The sequence below is a fragment of the Homo sapiens genome, chromosome 8 (assembly GCF_000001405.40).
Source record: "Homo sapiens chromosome 8, GRCh38.p14 Primary Assembly".
NCBI classification, from domain to species: domain Eukaryota; kingdom Metazoa; phylum Chordata; class Mammalia; order Primates; family Hominidae; genus Homo; species Homo sapiens.
This window is the reverse complement of record NC_000008.11, coordinates 17,249,128-17,266,206: the sequence shown is the minus strand read 5'-3', so window position 1 is coordinate 17,266,206 and position 17,079 is coordinate 17,249,128. Positions and strand designations below refer to the sequence as shown.

At 36.4% G+C, this 17,079-nt stretch overlaps 1 protein-coding gene across 18 annotated transcripts in view; it reads right to left on the bottom strand.

The window, feature by feature from the left end:
- Nucleotides 1-17,079, bottom strand: part of VPS37A (VPS37A subunit of ESCRT-I) — an 86,498-nt gene that overhangs the window by 67,249 nt on the left and 2,170 nt on the right. For 11 of the 18 annotated variants that reach the window (XR_007060695.1, XR_007060696.1, XR_007060697.1 and 8 more), the window contains exon 2: nucleotides 226-300. The exons of 2 other annotated variants lie outside the window; for them this stretch is intronic. Coding sequence is in view for 5 of the 16 variants with exons in the window: in NM_001363173.2 (NP_001350102.1) it covers nucleotides 226-300 (75 nt within the window). In the remaining 11 variants the exon portion in view is untranslated. Of the gene's footprint in view, nucleotides 1-225; nucleotides 301-391; nucleotides 437-17,079 lie in introns of all 18 variants that reach the window. 5 more of the 18 variants (NM_001363172.2, NM_001363168.1, NM_001363170.1 and 2 more) reach the window with 2 other exon arrangements.

Here is a 17,079-nt window from a genome sequence, read left to right as displayed (position 1 = left end):
AGTATTACACATTTTTATTGCATTTCCTCTTTTCTAGTTTCTTTCTTATAACACTATAACAGTGATAGCTTTCGAATATTTTTATTTCACTGAATTGTGCACTATTTTATAAATTATAGTTACTTGAAATAAGTTCACCTTAAAAGTTTATTTCTAATAACTAAGAAACAATAAAAAAACTGTTAAGTCCTTTTACATGAAAAAGTAGGATACAATTCTACTCACATATTAATGTTAATTGTCAGGTTGTTTATGGTGAATGGCAATCTGTATTCCACATCTTTCTGTATTTCGGCTATACTGCAGGAGAAAATTTTAAAAAATTTACCCAAAGTCATGAAACCATTATTGTTAAAAACCAATGTTAAGTGCTAGAATCTACTAAAACTACCTTTATTTTTAATCACAGAATCTGGATAGCCAGCATAACTTGTATCTTGAGGGGAAGGAAAATGATCATAGTTAGAAAGGCTCATCATCTAAGCACACAGTAACATTCTAAACTATCCAGGGGAAGGGGGATGATGATGTAAAGAGGCAAGAAAAAACTCTTCATTAATGCTACACTGTTTTACTATCACTCTATCCAATTTACCATTAGCAGAAGCAATTGTGTGCTCTCCGGTTAATACAGATGAGCAATCCATCTGGGTTTTAACTGCCACTATTAAGCAATATCGGCAGCTGGGGAAGTCTGGGTCTTAACAGCTTGAACTTAAAAGTCTAGATGAGACGCATCCTACAATCTTATGACAGAGGATGCTGGCTGCTTTCCAAAAACAAATATCCCCTTTTTTCTAAGTAGAGAAGCCTGATTTTATTCTGGGTAGCAATGTTCTAGTTAGTTCTTATAGCTAGTTGTTGCTATAGACTTAAATCCCATCCAGTAGAATGTACAGGAAAGTTGTAGGGAGAAATTGTAGGAAAATATCTTAAAGGGAACAAAATAATAGACAACTGATATGAGCCCATTTTGCCCTTCCTGCCTTCCTTCTACTTCCTCCTTGGATCTAGGAACTAGACTTCTAATAGCCATTTTCCACCATGAGTGACTCTGAGAATTGAAGCCATGCACTAAGGAAAGCTAGGCAGAAAGAAAGAAGTAGCTTGGGTCCTTGATGACTATGCAACTGTCAAACTCTGAATTTGCTTTATGTGTGAGAAAAATAAACTTTTATCTTGTTTTAGCCACCATTCTTGGGTCTTTGGTATTGGCAGGTAATATAATTCTTGGCTTCTAAGTCCCTGATACTTTAACATTCTACATTCATAAGTTTGTTTTATTGTTATTTGCAGGCATATATTATTACAACTATAATACACTAAGCAAGTCTTTTGGGGGCTCACTTGAAATTCTAACCAATATTCATGATATTTCCAAGGGGGAAAATGCTAAGTAGTATTAATGAGGTGAGGTTGCAGAGGAAGCTTAATATTGAAATGAACATGAAACTTCTTCAAGCATGAATACCCTTCAAAGATCTAGCTTATGACTAATGATTTGCTTTTTGTTCTTTTGGATGCTTCTTCTAACAGCTTTATAAAACCTCTTATTTCCCTGTTTTTGGTCCTTTGATAAAAACCCAGACTCTAGGATATGTAAATCTTAAGATAGCTTAAAAGATTCAAAAGTGTTGGGATGGAGTTACAGAAAAACTGTAGATGTAGATAAGCTTTCCTCTCTGATATCCTAAGGAATGGAGTTATCACTTAGAAAAAACGATTAAGAAAAGACTCAAGTGGACACTCAATATTAGGACTTGAACAGTTTTTCTGGAAGTTTTTCTTTGGGAATTAGGTTTGGACTGAAAAACCTCCTCCCTTGTATGAACACCACATAATCAACAGAATGGCCTAAATTTTTTATTCCTCTACATTATTTTAGAACCTGAAGAGGTCATTGTTCAAGGAAATAAATACTGGTCACAAAAGCATCCACCAATTCAAAGTCAACTAGAGCATCTTAGTGATTAACAGCACTGCCTCTCAAGTCAGGCTTCCTGGGTTCAAATCCTGTCTTTACCATTTATTTACTGTCATGGGTAAGTTAAGCCTTTTCTCTCAAATGGGAAAGGGAGATGTTAAAAAAAATCTACCCACCTAAAAGATTTGTTAGATTACGCAAAATAATGCATGTAAATCCCCCAACACAGTACCAGGCAAATAAGTGTTCAATAAATGTTAGCTATTATTAAATAGGCATGTAGAACATGGAGGTTGGTCCCTCTCTAGATTTATAGTATTAAAGTTTTTTGTTTGTCTTTTTGACACGGAGTTTCGCTCTGTTGCCCAGGCTGGAGTGTGGTGACACGATCTTGGCTCACTAGAATTTCTGCCTCCTGGGTTCAAGCAATTCTCTTGCCTCAGCCTCATGAGTAGCTGGGACTACAGGTGTGTGCCACCACACCCGGTTATATATATATTTTGTAGATAAGGGGTTTCACCATGCTGGCTAGGCTGGTCTCGAATTCCTGACCTCAAGCGATCCACCTGCCTTGGCCTTCCAATGAAGTTTTAACTCCTCAGTTTTTCAGACATTGTTCAGATTTTTATAGAAAATTTTCATTGAAAACATATTAAAATAAATTTGATTTAAATAATTTTTATCTAAATAATTGGTTAGAAATGTCCAATTCATTTTCTCCAGTTATACTGATGACAGTTCCTAAAATTTTTTTTATGAGTTTTCTTCACAAACTAAGTATCACAAATAACAGAAGGTGATACTTATAATATTAATGAGAGCTGAACCATCAACAAATTCCAAAACAAGTTAATCATGGCAATCTAGAAATGCATTTTGATTAGCTGCATTAAACAACAGATAAGTACTTGTTTTACTTAATTAAAACAGGAATAATTCCCTGAATATTCATCACAAATGTGATTTTGAATGTTGCTATTTTAATACTTTTAAAAAACTTATTCCAAAACATTCATTCTCATTAAAAAAAAGTTGCCAAAAAACCACTGTAAACATATTGCTCTATAATCTTCTAAACTTCTTTGCACATTCATAGCCTCATTTAAAATAAAAATATAATTACACTGTACATCAATTTTGTAAGTTACTCTTTTCTCACTCAATTGTGATTATCTTTCCAAATTAGTAAATGTTATTTTACAATATCTTTTTTTTTTTTTTTTGAGATGGGGTTTCACTCAGTCATCAGGCTGGAGTGCAATGGCGAGATCTCGGCTCACTGCAACCTCTGCCTCCCGGGTTCAACCGATTCTCCTGCCTCAGTCTCCTGAGTAGCTGGGACTACAGGTGCACACCACCACACCCAGCTAATTTTTGTATTTTTAGTAGAGACGGGGTTTCACCATGTTGGCCAGGATGATCTCAATCTCTTGACCTCGTGATCTGCCCGCCTCGGCCTCCCAAAGTGCTAGGATTACAGGCGTGAGTCACCGTGTCCGGCCTACAATATAATTTTTAATGGCTGCATAATGTTGTAGTATATGGTCATACTATTATTTAAGCTATTTTCTACTATTAGATATTTAGATTGTTTGCAGCTTTTATTCTTACAAACCACACTTTGATAAACATTCTTATAACCATATCTTTATACTGACAGTGGTACTATTTTCAACATAAATACACACACACACACACACACACACACATACTTTAAAGTAATATTTTAATCACACCACAAGAGAAAATTTAAATGACCTGCAAATTAATAATTTCATTTTCTAGTTTCTCTGGGAGAAGAGAATTACTATGGTTTTACCTCAGTGGCTCTGAATTTGTTGGGGCTAAATAAAGCTGTAATAATATATCACTTTGTTATTAAGAATATAGATTAACTGGCATCCTCATTTCTTTGATAGTCCCCCAAATGGAAACAAATAGACCTTAATATGCTTTAGAGAATTCAAGTTCCAAAATGGTGTCACAGAAGCAAGCTGGCTTCACTTAATGTCACAGAAAACAACAAATATGTAACACTAAGATTAACACCAACGACATCCCAGAACTCAAATATGAGGATCAGTCACTTCTCAGGGCCACAGAGAAGTGAAAAAACTCTGAGCAGATGGTAAGAGAATCGGACTTCCATACCTGTGATGCCTCTCCCCACAATCTTCCCAGCATCAAGCATACAAAAAATTTCCCCTCGACTCACGATTTCTACACTGGAAAAAGTAAGATCGAGGTGAACAATCGGCTTTCCCACCATTTTTGGTTCCCTGGCAGGAGACTCATCCCTGCCTCAACTCACCAGAAGCATCATGAGGACTGAAGGGAGAAATATTCCTGAGGACAGCCAGAGACAAAGGGGAGAGGCAAGACTACCATCCTCAACCCTGGAAACTGCCCTGTCTGCAGCCAAAGAAAACACCAAATCAGAGTGCCTATTCAGCAGCTCCATGTTGTAGGAGATATATTCCACAGAAACCATGGGCAGGAACCGTTTGCCAGCCTTCCCACACTGTTGGGATATCCCCTTTGGGAGCTCCCCCATTAGAGATGGGCACTGCTCCAGGTACTTATTAGAGCCAAGGCAAACCTGGGTTTAAAGTGCCACTGAGAACCAAAAAGGAGGCAGAAACCTTACAGTAAAGAGTCTTTAAGCAAATACATTCAATAAAACCAAAACAAGCCAGAGAGAGAAGACCAGAATAAATAACTAATTCGTCAAAGTAAAGACATAGACGCACATCCGCAGGAAACAAGAGCAAACAGGGAGCCTGACTTCCCTAAGCGGATGAAACAAAGAACAAATGACTGACCCTAATGAGATAATAATATGTAAGCTCTCTGAACAAGAATTTAAATAGTAGATTTAAGGAAACTCAGTGATCTCCAAGATAAAACAAAAAATTCAGAAATTTATCAGAGAAATTTAACAAAGAGATTTAAGTAATAATAAACAATTAAACAGAAATGTTGGAACTGAGAAATATGTTTGCTGAACTGAAATACATTAGAGGCTCTCCATGGCAGAATGGATCAGGCAGAAGAAACAATCAGTAAACCTGAAGACAGGTTATTAGAAAATACACAGTAAGAGAAAGAAGAAAAAAGACTGAAAAGAAATGAAGACCACCTACGAAATACAGAATATTGCCTCAGAAGACCACATCTAAGAATTACTGGTGTTCAAAAAGAAGTTGAGCCAGAGGAATGGGTAGAAAGCTTATTCCAAGAAATAGTCACAGAAAAACTTCCAAAGCTTGAGAAAGTCATAAATATCCAGGTACTGGAAGGTCAGATACACTGAACAAATCTGACACAAATAAGGCTACTCCTAGGCATATAATCATCAAACTCTCAAAGGTGAAGCACAAAGAGAGGATCCTAAAATCAGCAAGAGGAAAGAAACAACATAAAAAGGAGCTCTAATTGGTCTGGCAACAGACTTCTCAATGAGAACCATATAGGCCAGAAGGGAGTGGAACAACATTTTCCAAATGCTGAAAGGAAAAAACGAACAAACAAACAAACAACTTGCCATCCAAAAATACTGTAACCAGCAAAGTTATCTTTCAAATATGAAGGAGAATCAAAGTCTTTCCCACATAAATAAAAGCATGGAGAATTCACCCCAAGACCCATCTTATAAGAAATGCTAAAGGGAGTTCATCAGTCTGAAAGAAAAAAAATTAATGTGCAAAGAGAAAACATCTGGAGGCATGAAATCCACTGGTAAAATTAAATACACAGAGAAACCCAGAATCCTCTAATACTGTAATTATGGTGTGCAATCCACTTATAATTCCAGTATGAGGCCCAAAATAAAAATCTATCAAAAACAACAATAGCTACAACCACCTGTTAAGAGATAGGTAATATAAAAATCTGTAAATTGAGACAATTAAAAGTCAAAATGTTGGGGAGAAGGAATTAAGGCATAAATATTTTTGTTTCTGTTCTTTTCTTTGTGATCTAAGTTATTGTCTCTTTGAAATAACTTATTACATATATGTTTTTTGTAAACCTCATGAAAACCACAGTGCAAAAACCTATAGTAGATTCACTAAACATAAAAAAGCAACAAATTAAAACATACTACCAAAGAAAGTCACTTACCTACAAAGGAAGATAGTAAGAAAGGAAGAGAGGAGATTAAGAACAACCAGAAAACAATCAACAAAATGGAAGAAGTCCTTACTTATCAATAATTAATGTAATGGACTAAATTCTCCAATTAAAAGGCATTAAGTGGCTGAATGGATAAAGCAACAAGACCCAAGAATATGTTGCCTACAAGAAACCCACTTCATATAAAAAGACACACGTAGACTGAAAGTGAAGGAGTAGAAAAAGATATTTCATGCAACTGGAAACCAAAAGGAGCAGGAGCAGCTATACTTACAGCAAATAAAACAGACTACAAATCAAAGACTATAAAAAGAATCAAAGGTCACTATATAAAATGATAAAGGGGTCAATTCAGCAAGCAGATATAACAATTAGAAATATCTATGCACCCAAAACCAGAGCTCCAAAGTACATACAGCAAACATTAATGAACCTAAAGAGAAAGACAGATTGCAATACGTTAACTATAGGGGACTTTCACTCTACTATCAGTAATGCAAAGATCATCCAGACAGAAAATCAATAAAGAAACACCAAAGTTAAACTTCACTTTGGACCTAATAGGCCTAATTGACATTTACAGAACACTGCACTCAATTGCTGCAGAATATGTTCTTTTCATCAGCACATGGAACATTCTCCAGAACAGAACATATCTTAGGCCAGAAAACAAGTCTGAACAAACTCAAAGAAATCAGAAATTACATCAAGTATGTTTTCTGACCACAATGCAATAAAACTAGAAAACAATAACAAGAGGAACTTCAGAAACTACACAACCACGTGGAAATTAAACATGCTACTGAACAGCCAATGGGGTGACAAAGAAATTAAAAAGTAAATTTTAAAAAGTCTTCAAACAGATGAAAATGGAAATAGAACACACCAAAATCTATGGGATAAAGCAAAAGTGATACAAAGAAGAAAGTTTATAGCAATAAATGACTGTATCAAAAAAGTAAAAAGACTTCAAATAAACAACCCAATTATGCACTTTGATGAACTAGAGAAGAACCAAACCTAAAAGGAGAAAAAATATAAATATCAGAGCAGAAATCAATGAAGTTGAGACCAAAAATACAAAAGATCAAGAAAATGAAAAGTTGGTTATTTGAAAAGATAAAATCATCAAGCCTTTAGCTAGATGAACTAGGAGAGAAGACCCAAATAAATGAAGTCACAATGAAAAAGAAGATGTGACAACTGAGACCACAGAACTATAAAGAATCATTAGGCACCACTATGAATTATATGCTAAAAAACTGGAAAGCCTAAAAGAAAGGAACAAATTGCCGGACATATACAACCTACTAAGATTAAACCATGATAAAATAGAAAACTTCAATAAGCCAATAATAATGAGATTAAAGCCATAATAAAAAGTCTCACATCAAAGAAAAGCTGAGGACCTGATAGCTTCGCTGGTGAATTCTACCAAACACTTAAAGAACTAATAACAATTCTACTCATGCTTCAAAAAAATTGAAGAAGGACTACTTCCAAACTCATTCTACAAGATCAGCATCACCCATAGAAACAAGAAAAAAGAAAACTACAGGCCAATATTACAGATTAACATACATACAAAACTCCTGAACAAAATACTAGCAAACCAAATTCGACAAAACATTAAAAAAGATCATTCACCATTATCAGGTGGTATTACCCCAGGAATGCAAGGACAGTGCAATATATATGCAAATCAATAAATGTGATATATCCATTAAGAGAACCAAGAACAAAAAACAAATGATTGTTTCAACAGATGCTGAAAAAGCACTCAATAAAATCCTTTGTGATTACAACCCTCATCGAACTGGGTATAGAAGGAATATACATCAAAATAATAAAGGCCATATATAACAAACCACAGTTGACATTATAGTGAATGTGGAAAAACTGAAGGCCTTTCCTCTAAGATCTAGAATAAGACAAGCATGCCCACTTTCAAACTTTTATCCAATATAATAGTGGAAGTCTTGGCCAGAGCAATTAGGCAAGAGATAGAAATAAACAGCATCTAAAATGGAAAAGAGAAGTTAAATTAGCCTTGTTCGCGGATGACACAATGTTACGACTGGAAAAACCTAAAGACCCCACCAAAAAAACAGACAAACAAAAAACCTGTTAGAAATGATAAACCAATTCAGTAAAGTTGCAGGATACAAAATTAACATACAAAAATTAGTGGCATTTACATATGCTAACAATAAACAATCTAAAGAAAAAAGTAATCCTAGTTACAATAGTTACAAAGAATATAAAATACCTAGCAAACAATTTTACCTAAGAAGTGAAACATCTAAACAAGGAAAACTATAGAACACTGATGAAAGAAATTGAAGAGGACATGTACAAAAAAAATGGAAACATATTCCATGCTTGTGGCTGGAGGAATAAATACTATTAAAATGACAATACTACCCAAAGCAAATTACAGATTTGGAGCAATCCCTAGCAAAATACCAATGACATTCTTCACAGAAATAGAAACAATCACAATTTTTTTACAAATTATACTTTAGGTTCTGGAGTACATGTGCAGAATGTGCAGTTTTGTTACATAGGTATACACGTGCCATGGTGGTTTGCTGCACCCATCAACCCGTCACCTACATTAGGTATTTCTCCTAATGCTATCCCTCCCCTAACGCCCCCTGACAGGCCCCGGTGTGTGATGTTCCCCTCCCTGTATCCATGTGTTTTCACTGTTCATAATCCTAATATTTATATGGACTCACAAGACCCTGAATAGCTGAAGCAACTCTGAGCAAAAAGAACAAGGTTGGAGGCATCACACTATCTATCCAGCTTCAAAATTTACTGCAAAGTTATAGTAACCAAATCACATGCTACTGGCCTAAAAACAAACACACAGACCAATGGAGCAAAACAAGGAACCCAAATATAATTTACAGCCAACTCATCTTAACAAAAGCACCAAGAACATACAACGGAGAAAGGATGATGTTTTCAATAAACGGTGCTGGGAAAATTGGGTAACTATATGCTGAAGAATGAAACTAGACCCTATCTCTTACCATACACAAAAATCAAATAAGAATGGATTAATGACTTAAATCTAAGACCTGAAACTATGGAACTACTAGAAGAAAACATTGAGGAAATGCTTCAGTACATTGTTCTAGGCAAACAATTTTGTGTAAGACCTCAAAAGCACAGGCATCTAAAGCAGAAACAGATAAATGGGATTACATCAAGCTAAAAACCTACACAGTGAGGCCAAGGCAGGCCGATCATCTGAGGTCAGGAGTTTGAGACCAGCCTGACCAACATGGAGAAACCCTGTCTCTACTAAAGATACAAAATTAGCCGGGTGTGGTGGTGAGTGCCTGTAATCCCAGCTACTTGGAAGGCTGAGGCAGGAAAATTGCTTGAATCCGGGAGGCGGAGGTTGTGGTGAGCCGAGACAGTGCCATTGCACTCCAGCCTGAGCAACAAAAGTGAAACTCCATTTCCAATAAATAAATAAATAAATAAATAAATAAATAAATAAAACCTACACAGCGAAGGAACAATCAACAAAGTAAAGAGACAACCCAAAAAACGGGAGAAAACTTTTGTAAACTATCCATCTGACAAAGGATTAACTACCGAATACATGAGGAGTTCAAACAACTCAAAAGCAGAAAAACAAATAATGTGATTTAAACATTGGCAAAAGATCTCAACAAACATTTCTCAAAAGCAGCATACAGGGTGTGGTGGTGTGCGCCTGTAAACCCAGTTACGTGCAAGACTGAAGTGGGACTCCTTGAGCCCAGGAGTTCCAGATTAGTCTGGGCAACAAACAGTGGGACCCTATCTCCAAAAAAAAAAAAAAAAAAAAAAAAAAAATCATTTTACCCCAGCTAAAAAGACTTTTATCAAAAAGCCAGGCAATAACGAATGCTGGCAAGGATTTGGAGACAGGGGAACCCTGATATACTGCTGGTGGGAATGTAAATTAGTACAACTAATTTGGAGTCTGCTATGGAGAACAGTATGGAGGTTCCTCAAAAGACTAACAATATCTCTGCACCTTTAGAACCTTGAAAAAAAAAATGAAACTGCCATATGATTCAGCAATTCTGCTACTGGGTATATTGCCAAAATAAAGAAAAAAAATCAAAGAGATAGCTGCACTCCCACGTTTATTGCAGCACTATTCACAACAGCCAAAATATGTAATAAATTTAAGTACACATCAACAAATGAATGGATAAAGAAAATGTGGCATAATACACAACAGAATATTATCCCACCATAAAAAAGGATGAAATCCTGTCATTTACAGCAACATGAGTGGAACTGGAAGTCATTACGTTAAGTGACATAAACCAAACACAAAAAGACAAACATTGCATATGTGAAAGCTAAAAAAGTAGATCCACAAAGAAAGAAAGTAGCGTGATGGTTCCAGACACTAGGAAGGGTAAACAGGAGGGGAAATGAAATTAATTAGTGAGTTTAAATATACAGTTGATAAAAGAAATAAGACCTAGTGTTTGTACAGCTATCATGTATCAATTTTAAAAGATTTAAAAATGCAACAGAGGCACTATTTCTGAAGCTTCCTTTTACAGAATAAACAATAATTTATCACTTAGTTTATATATATACACACATATATACACATACACACACACACACACATATATATATTTAAGACGAAGTCTCACTCTCGTTGCCCAGGCTGGAGTGCAATGTCACTATCTCAGCTCACTGCAACCTCTGCCTCCCAGGTTCACGTGATTGTCCTGCCTCAGCCTCCCGAGTAGCTGGGATTACAGGCGCCTGCTACCATGCCCGGCTAATATTTATATTTTTAGTAGAGACAGGGTTTCACCATGTTGGCCAGGCTGGTCTCGAACTCCTGACCTCAGGCGATCCACCCGCTTCAGCCTCCCAAAGTGCTGGGATTACAGGCGCTCAGTGAGCCACTGCAGCCAGCCCACTTAGTTTATATTTTGTATTTATGTTTATATTTAGTTTGATTTCATAAGACTCAGTTTAACTGAACACCAACCATATATCCAGCATCCTGCAAGGAAATGGAAATACAGAGATGAATATGGGGTGTTTTGTGCTCTGAATGAGCATACAGTGTGATGAGAAACTCAAGTTACTAAAAAGATCAATTCAAGATAATGATGTCATGCATTTTCCTCAGTGTTGGGTAACTCAAGTAACGTTTATAGGTGAATCTTGCAAATAAAAGATTCAAGTGCTTAGAATAGATGGAGAACAGACAGACAAACATCCTATCTAAATCTCTATGATTTAGATAAAAAAATCAAAACAGATTTTTTATTTTTAATTATTATGGATACATAATAGTTATACATATTTATGGGGTACTTGTGATGTTTTGATAGAAGTACAAAACAGATTTTTAAAAAGCAAATCCATAACAGTGCTGAAAAGCAAAAACTACCATATACAGATAAATTTTGAGCAAACTGACAAACAGAAAGGATTACATGTAAGAAAGGAGTGAACATTTAAAAAAAAAAGAAGAAAAAGAAAGTAAACAAGGAAAAAAATCACAATCCAAAACATAAGTCCAATATAAAGTTTGGAGCAGTTTGAAGGTCCTCTAAGCCCTTGAACCAGGTCAATGCAAACTAAGAGTTTGGGGGGAAGAAGGCAGGTCAGGAGCATTTCTCAGAGTAATTAATCAACAGGGTGACATTCGTGGAGCAGCAGGTAGGCTAGGGAATTAGCCTCTTTTCCTAGCTTGTTTCCAGCTTGTTGCTGGTAAATAGCAGTAATATTTGCATTCAGATTAACACAGAGACAGCCTCTAAGCTAGCGGAGACTCCTCAGGAAGTTACTAACCCCATGACAGCTACTGACTCCCCAGGAAGCCTCCTTTTCCAGAAGATAACTATCAACTTGCCCTACCTAAGGACTCGTCATTCTTATTCTTCATCACCAGAAGCAGACTATGGCAAACAGTAAGTATTCACAAACAAGTCAACAGGGAAGCTCAAATACAGAAACGAGAACGTCATAAAGGTTTGAATAAAAAAAAATCACGCAAACTGTGCACCAAATTCAACAAATTGAAACATAAAAAACTCAAGAGCAAAGACAAGATGACTATAAATTTATGTAATATCAGAACAACAAAAGACAACAGCACTTGCACACACACACATACTTACACAACTGATATAAGAATGAAAAAGCAAGAAACTGGAAATTTAAAACAAATAGCTCCAAAAATGGTTCAGTGTTGTTTGGAAAATCCTTCATACTATAGCTGTCTCTTGGAGAATGCTGATCCACTTTAGCACATTAAAGATTTTGAGAAATTCCAAAGTAAATTGTGTTTGTTTTCGAAATCTGTGTTAACATGGAGCACTTATTTCACATTTTTTTAATAGAACACATGATAATGACTGAGATGTACAAAGAGCTATGAAAACACAGAAGAAAGCACCTAACCTAGCGGCAGTGGGGTCTTCTGGAAAAAATAATATCTGAGTTACATTTAAAAGAGTTAATACTCAGAAAAGTAAATCAGGGAAATACAGTGTACATTTTAAATGGAGAAGCCCTATCAGAAAAGCTTCAGATACAAAATAACACAAGTTCTCCAAAAGTCTCCATAGCCTTTGCCATATATGAAACGTTACATTCTGTTTGTTGATATCTTTCCACCAGTCACATCACCATCTTCTGTGACAACCAGGAATCAAGTTAAGGTGGCTGGCCTTTTTTGACAAGAGTTAGGAAACTACTGAAAGGAGTGACATGGTCAAATTTGAATTTTAGAAAGATTACTCTGGCAGCAATGTGGAAGAAAAGGCAGAGGGAAAAAGGCTGGAGGCAGAGAGAACTGTTAGAACCTTGTGGTAGTAGACATGGAAGACTGAATGGAAATGGAAGACGGCACAGGTTTTCGGCTTAGGTGAGCAAACAGCAGAAATGGTTTGGAAGGAGTTCAGGTTGGGGGGAGGGGCAGATGTAGCTGATTTAACTAGCAATGGAGAAATGACTGCCTTATCATAACTTTTTTTTAAAGCAGTAACGGACTAATATTTCTAATGAGAAAATTAACTGAGCACTTGAGCTGTATGATATTTCTTAAATGGTACCATGCTTTATTGCGTCATACGCTCTGCAATTATACGTCTTAATCACTGGTTACAAATAGACAATATAATTTAATGTGTCAAAGTTTTAACTTAATTACAGGATTGATACGCATAATTTTAAAGTTTACTATATAGAGCTCAAAGTGCATTTACACAGTCAAAATGTTGATATTTTGGAGATTTCTGTAGCTTCAATGGGCTAAGGCATAACAGATGCTTGTAGAATTTTTTATTACAAGTTAATGTTATTTCCTTCCATAAAGAAGTTTTCCTATCAAATAACTACACCAGCGAGGTAACACACATGAATGAAGGCAGCTCCTTGTAGTCCAACAGGGAGTGAATTGCAAACTAGTGAAATGGGTAGTGGGTAGCCCAGCAAAGCAGACAGCTACTCTTCAGCTTGAAGCAAATGTTGCTATGTGGAAACCAATCTTTCCAGATTTTCCATTTTAAAAGAAGAGTTAGAGACGACAGGGGACATAGGGGAAATCTTCTGCCTTTTAATTTTGCTGTGAACATAAAACTACACTAAAAATAAAGTCTATTAAATAAAGAAAAATTGGGCTGGGTGTGGCAGCTCATGCCTGTCATCCTAGCACTTTGGGAGGCCAAGCCAGGCAGAGTGCTTGGGCCCAGGAGTTTGAGAGACAAGCCTGGGCAACATAGCAAAACCCCATCTCTACCAAAACAACAACAACAACAACAAAAGTAATTAAACTTATGAGCCAGGCATGATGGCATGTGCCTGTAGTTCCAGCTACTTGGGAAGCTGAGGTGGGAGGATTGCTGCGGTAAGCTGTGATCGTGCCACTGCACTCTAGCCTGGGTAACAGAGTGAGACCCTGTCTCAAAAAATAAATAAATAAAAAGGAAACCTGGAAATTTTAATACAAAAATTGCAAATTTTGACTGTTGATAATAAATGCTTTTCATAAAAATATATAACATGCGACGGGTTGAAACACAGACATACACATCCCTTCATTACAATATCTCTTGTGTTACCAAGTTTGTGTGTGAGTCCTCATGAGCTGAGAATGAATTCTATAGAAACAAGAGCATGGAATTTAAGCTTACTCAGAATCCCATGAGATAGGGGGACAAAGTCTTATAGCTGTGATCAAAACGTTAAGCTTAGCAGCTGTGGGGGAGAACTATACAAGAGCTGACTCTACAAGAAGTTTTAAGGCTAAACATTTAGGCAATCAGAACAACGGAATCCGCAGACTGGCAGCAAAAGAAAATATTAAAACAAATTTTAAAGACTAGGGAGAATGGCACTACTATTTTAAAGATAGGGACAAGAACAAAATACAGTAACAATTGCTGTTTACATCTCCTGTGTGCAAGATAATAATTTAGGTTATTTACCTGCATCATGCCTAATTTTATGAAGAAACTAACTGTCTGGAATGGACTTGCTTTCTAAATGGAAAGTCAGAAGTAGTTCTGCCAGAGACAGATAAGTTGTAGGTAAGCTTATGAGAGATCTACAAACAATAAGCTGGCTAGAAGCTTATAGGCTAAGAGGCAAAGATTCAAGCACACTGATTCTATGCAGTAGAAAGAAGGAATGTAATTCGTCCTATGCCTACTATGTGCTAGATACTCTTCCAAATGTCTTACATATATTTTTTAGTTATCAAAAATCCTGCATGACAGGAATCACAATTGCTGATTTTACAGATAGGAATTGGAGGATCAGGGTTGTCTCACATAAAAATATCCAAAACATGAGACATTTCTTCCTCCCAGTCATTTGTTACTATTGCTGAGAAAACATTTTGAGCAGCTCCCCAGCAGACTTCCCCTCCAACTCCCACTAACCAAGAGTCCTGCTTCCACAGTAACTTGGGGGGAAGGGTGATGAGACCATCATCACTGGCATAAACAATCCTTATTCACCTCTAGTGGAGGCTGGGTTGAAAGATTCCAGCCTCCACAAAGTATGGGCCTTGCAGAGGGAAAAACCAACAGTGTCCATAAAGTCAGCTTCCTCAGGAAGTATAAGAAACAGAATTAGTTCTACTCCTGTCCATAAAGTCAGGAGTTTTGGTGATAAACTGAATACTGTGGTAAGTGATACTTAGAAGAGAGAACATATTACTTGAGCCCAGGAGGCATAATTTCTAGTTTCCATTTTCACAGCTGACTTAAACACTTTGGTTAAACACTTTTCTGTGAGTGTCATCTATGACAGTTATCTCATTTGCCGTGCATATTGTTGAGACTCAGATGAAAAAATTTACATAAAATTCACCTATTTTTTTTGTAGAAGACTGAGGTAGCTGAGGAGATAAGAATTTAAGGCAACTAAAAAGTTCACAATCATTAGAGAAAGGGACAAAAAGAGACTGCTGAAGTGGAATTTTCGGAATTATAAGGGGTTAAAAATTGTAAGAGTTGGAAGGGAGATGACAGAATGGGGTAGAGAAAGGTTACTCAGTAGAGCAGAAGAAAAGATACTTTCATGGCCAAAAAAAGATATTCACCTATTGAGCTTACATTTGGAGAAGAGACATAAAACGAAACATGAGGGAGATGGACAGCATGTAACAAGATATTGATATTCCTCATGTAACAAGTTTTTGTACTGTTCATAGGAAAAAACACACTGGAAATTCTTTCAACTTTTACACACCACACCTTTAGAATAACCAATCTGTCTGTTCGCACAAAAATCTTTTAAGTGTAAGTCGTACCACTAATTTAGGTAATCAGGCAACATATTGCCAGTATTGGGGCTCAGAAAACAATACCCCAAAATATTGCACTTTGGTAGGCTGATTACTTTGAATTAAAGGAGTCTGGAGGGCCTCAGAAGTAAAGCTCTCTCTGACCACCTCCTGCCCCTCTTTCTCCATTGAAGAAGTCATAGAAACCAGAATTCCTCCTCCCCTGGGCGGTATATTACAAACTACAACCCTTCTTCCCTACAAAAAATCTAGAAAGGTCACTTTCCCTTCCGCCCTGAAGACCCTCACTCCATATGAGCCCGGGCCGGTCCACTAGAGGAGTAGAAAGTTATACAGAGAAGCCAAGAAAAATCTGAACAAACAGGCCTTGGTGGGTTTCCCCTACCTCTGTCTATTACCATTACCATACTCTTTTTGTCCAATCACATTTCTACATGGCTGTCCATTCTTCATTGAACCTAATCATAAATACAGACAGTTTTCCTTCGGTCTCTGGGGCTTCATTTCTGAAGGCTCCCATGCAGTGTAAAACTTTGATTAAATAAATCTGTTATGCTTTTCGCTTGTTAACCTGTCTTTTGTTACAGGAGGGTCAGCTGTGCCCCTTATGACTGATGAGAAAAAATATCACACCTTTTCCATCTTTACATCAGATACCATACAGACAGATTATTTTTTACCTCCCAGCTTACAAATATATGTCATTATTTAAAAGGGTGGACTAACAAGAATAGGTGAGTGGCATTTTCCAGGATTGTGCCATTCTTTGAAAACTGGAAGCATATGACCTACTTAAGTGTCTCCGGAATTATTCGAGTATAATTTGTAAATGCGAAACATCTCAATAAAACTTCAAGTGTTTTTATAAAAGAACTTAAAACAATAAAATACTTAGTTATTTGTTCATAACACTACAAAATAAATTACATTATCTAATGTAATCATGTCCAATCATACGTTCATAATTTCTGGTTCAAAAAATAATACATAAAATGAATCCTTTCTGTATCCAACTCCGCGTATTTACTGATCCTCTTAAGCCAATTCCAGAACTCTTTACATTAACAATTGCTGCTATAGAATCTCACTTTATTTGGGAGGCCAAAATTATAAATTTCACATCAATTACTTCCCTTACTTACCAGCCTTAGCAGCAAGAGACTTTGTAGTATTTAAAAAATTAAACTCCAACCTCGAAGAAAAAAATTAGTCAGCA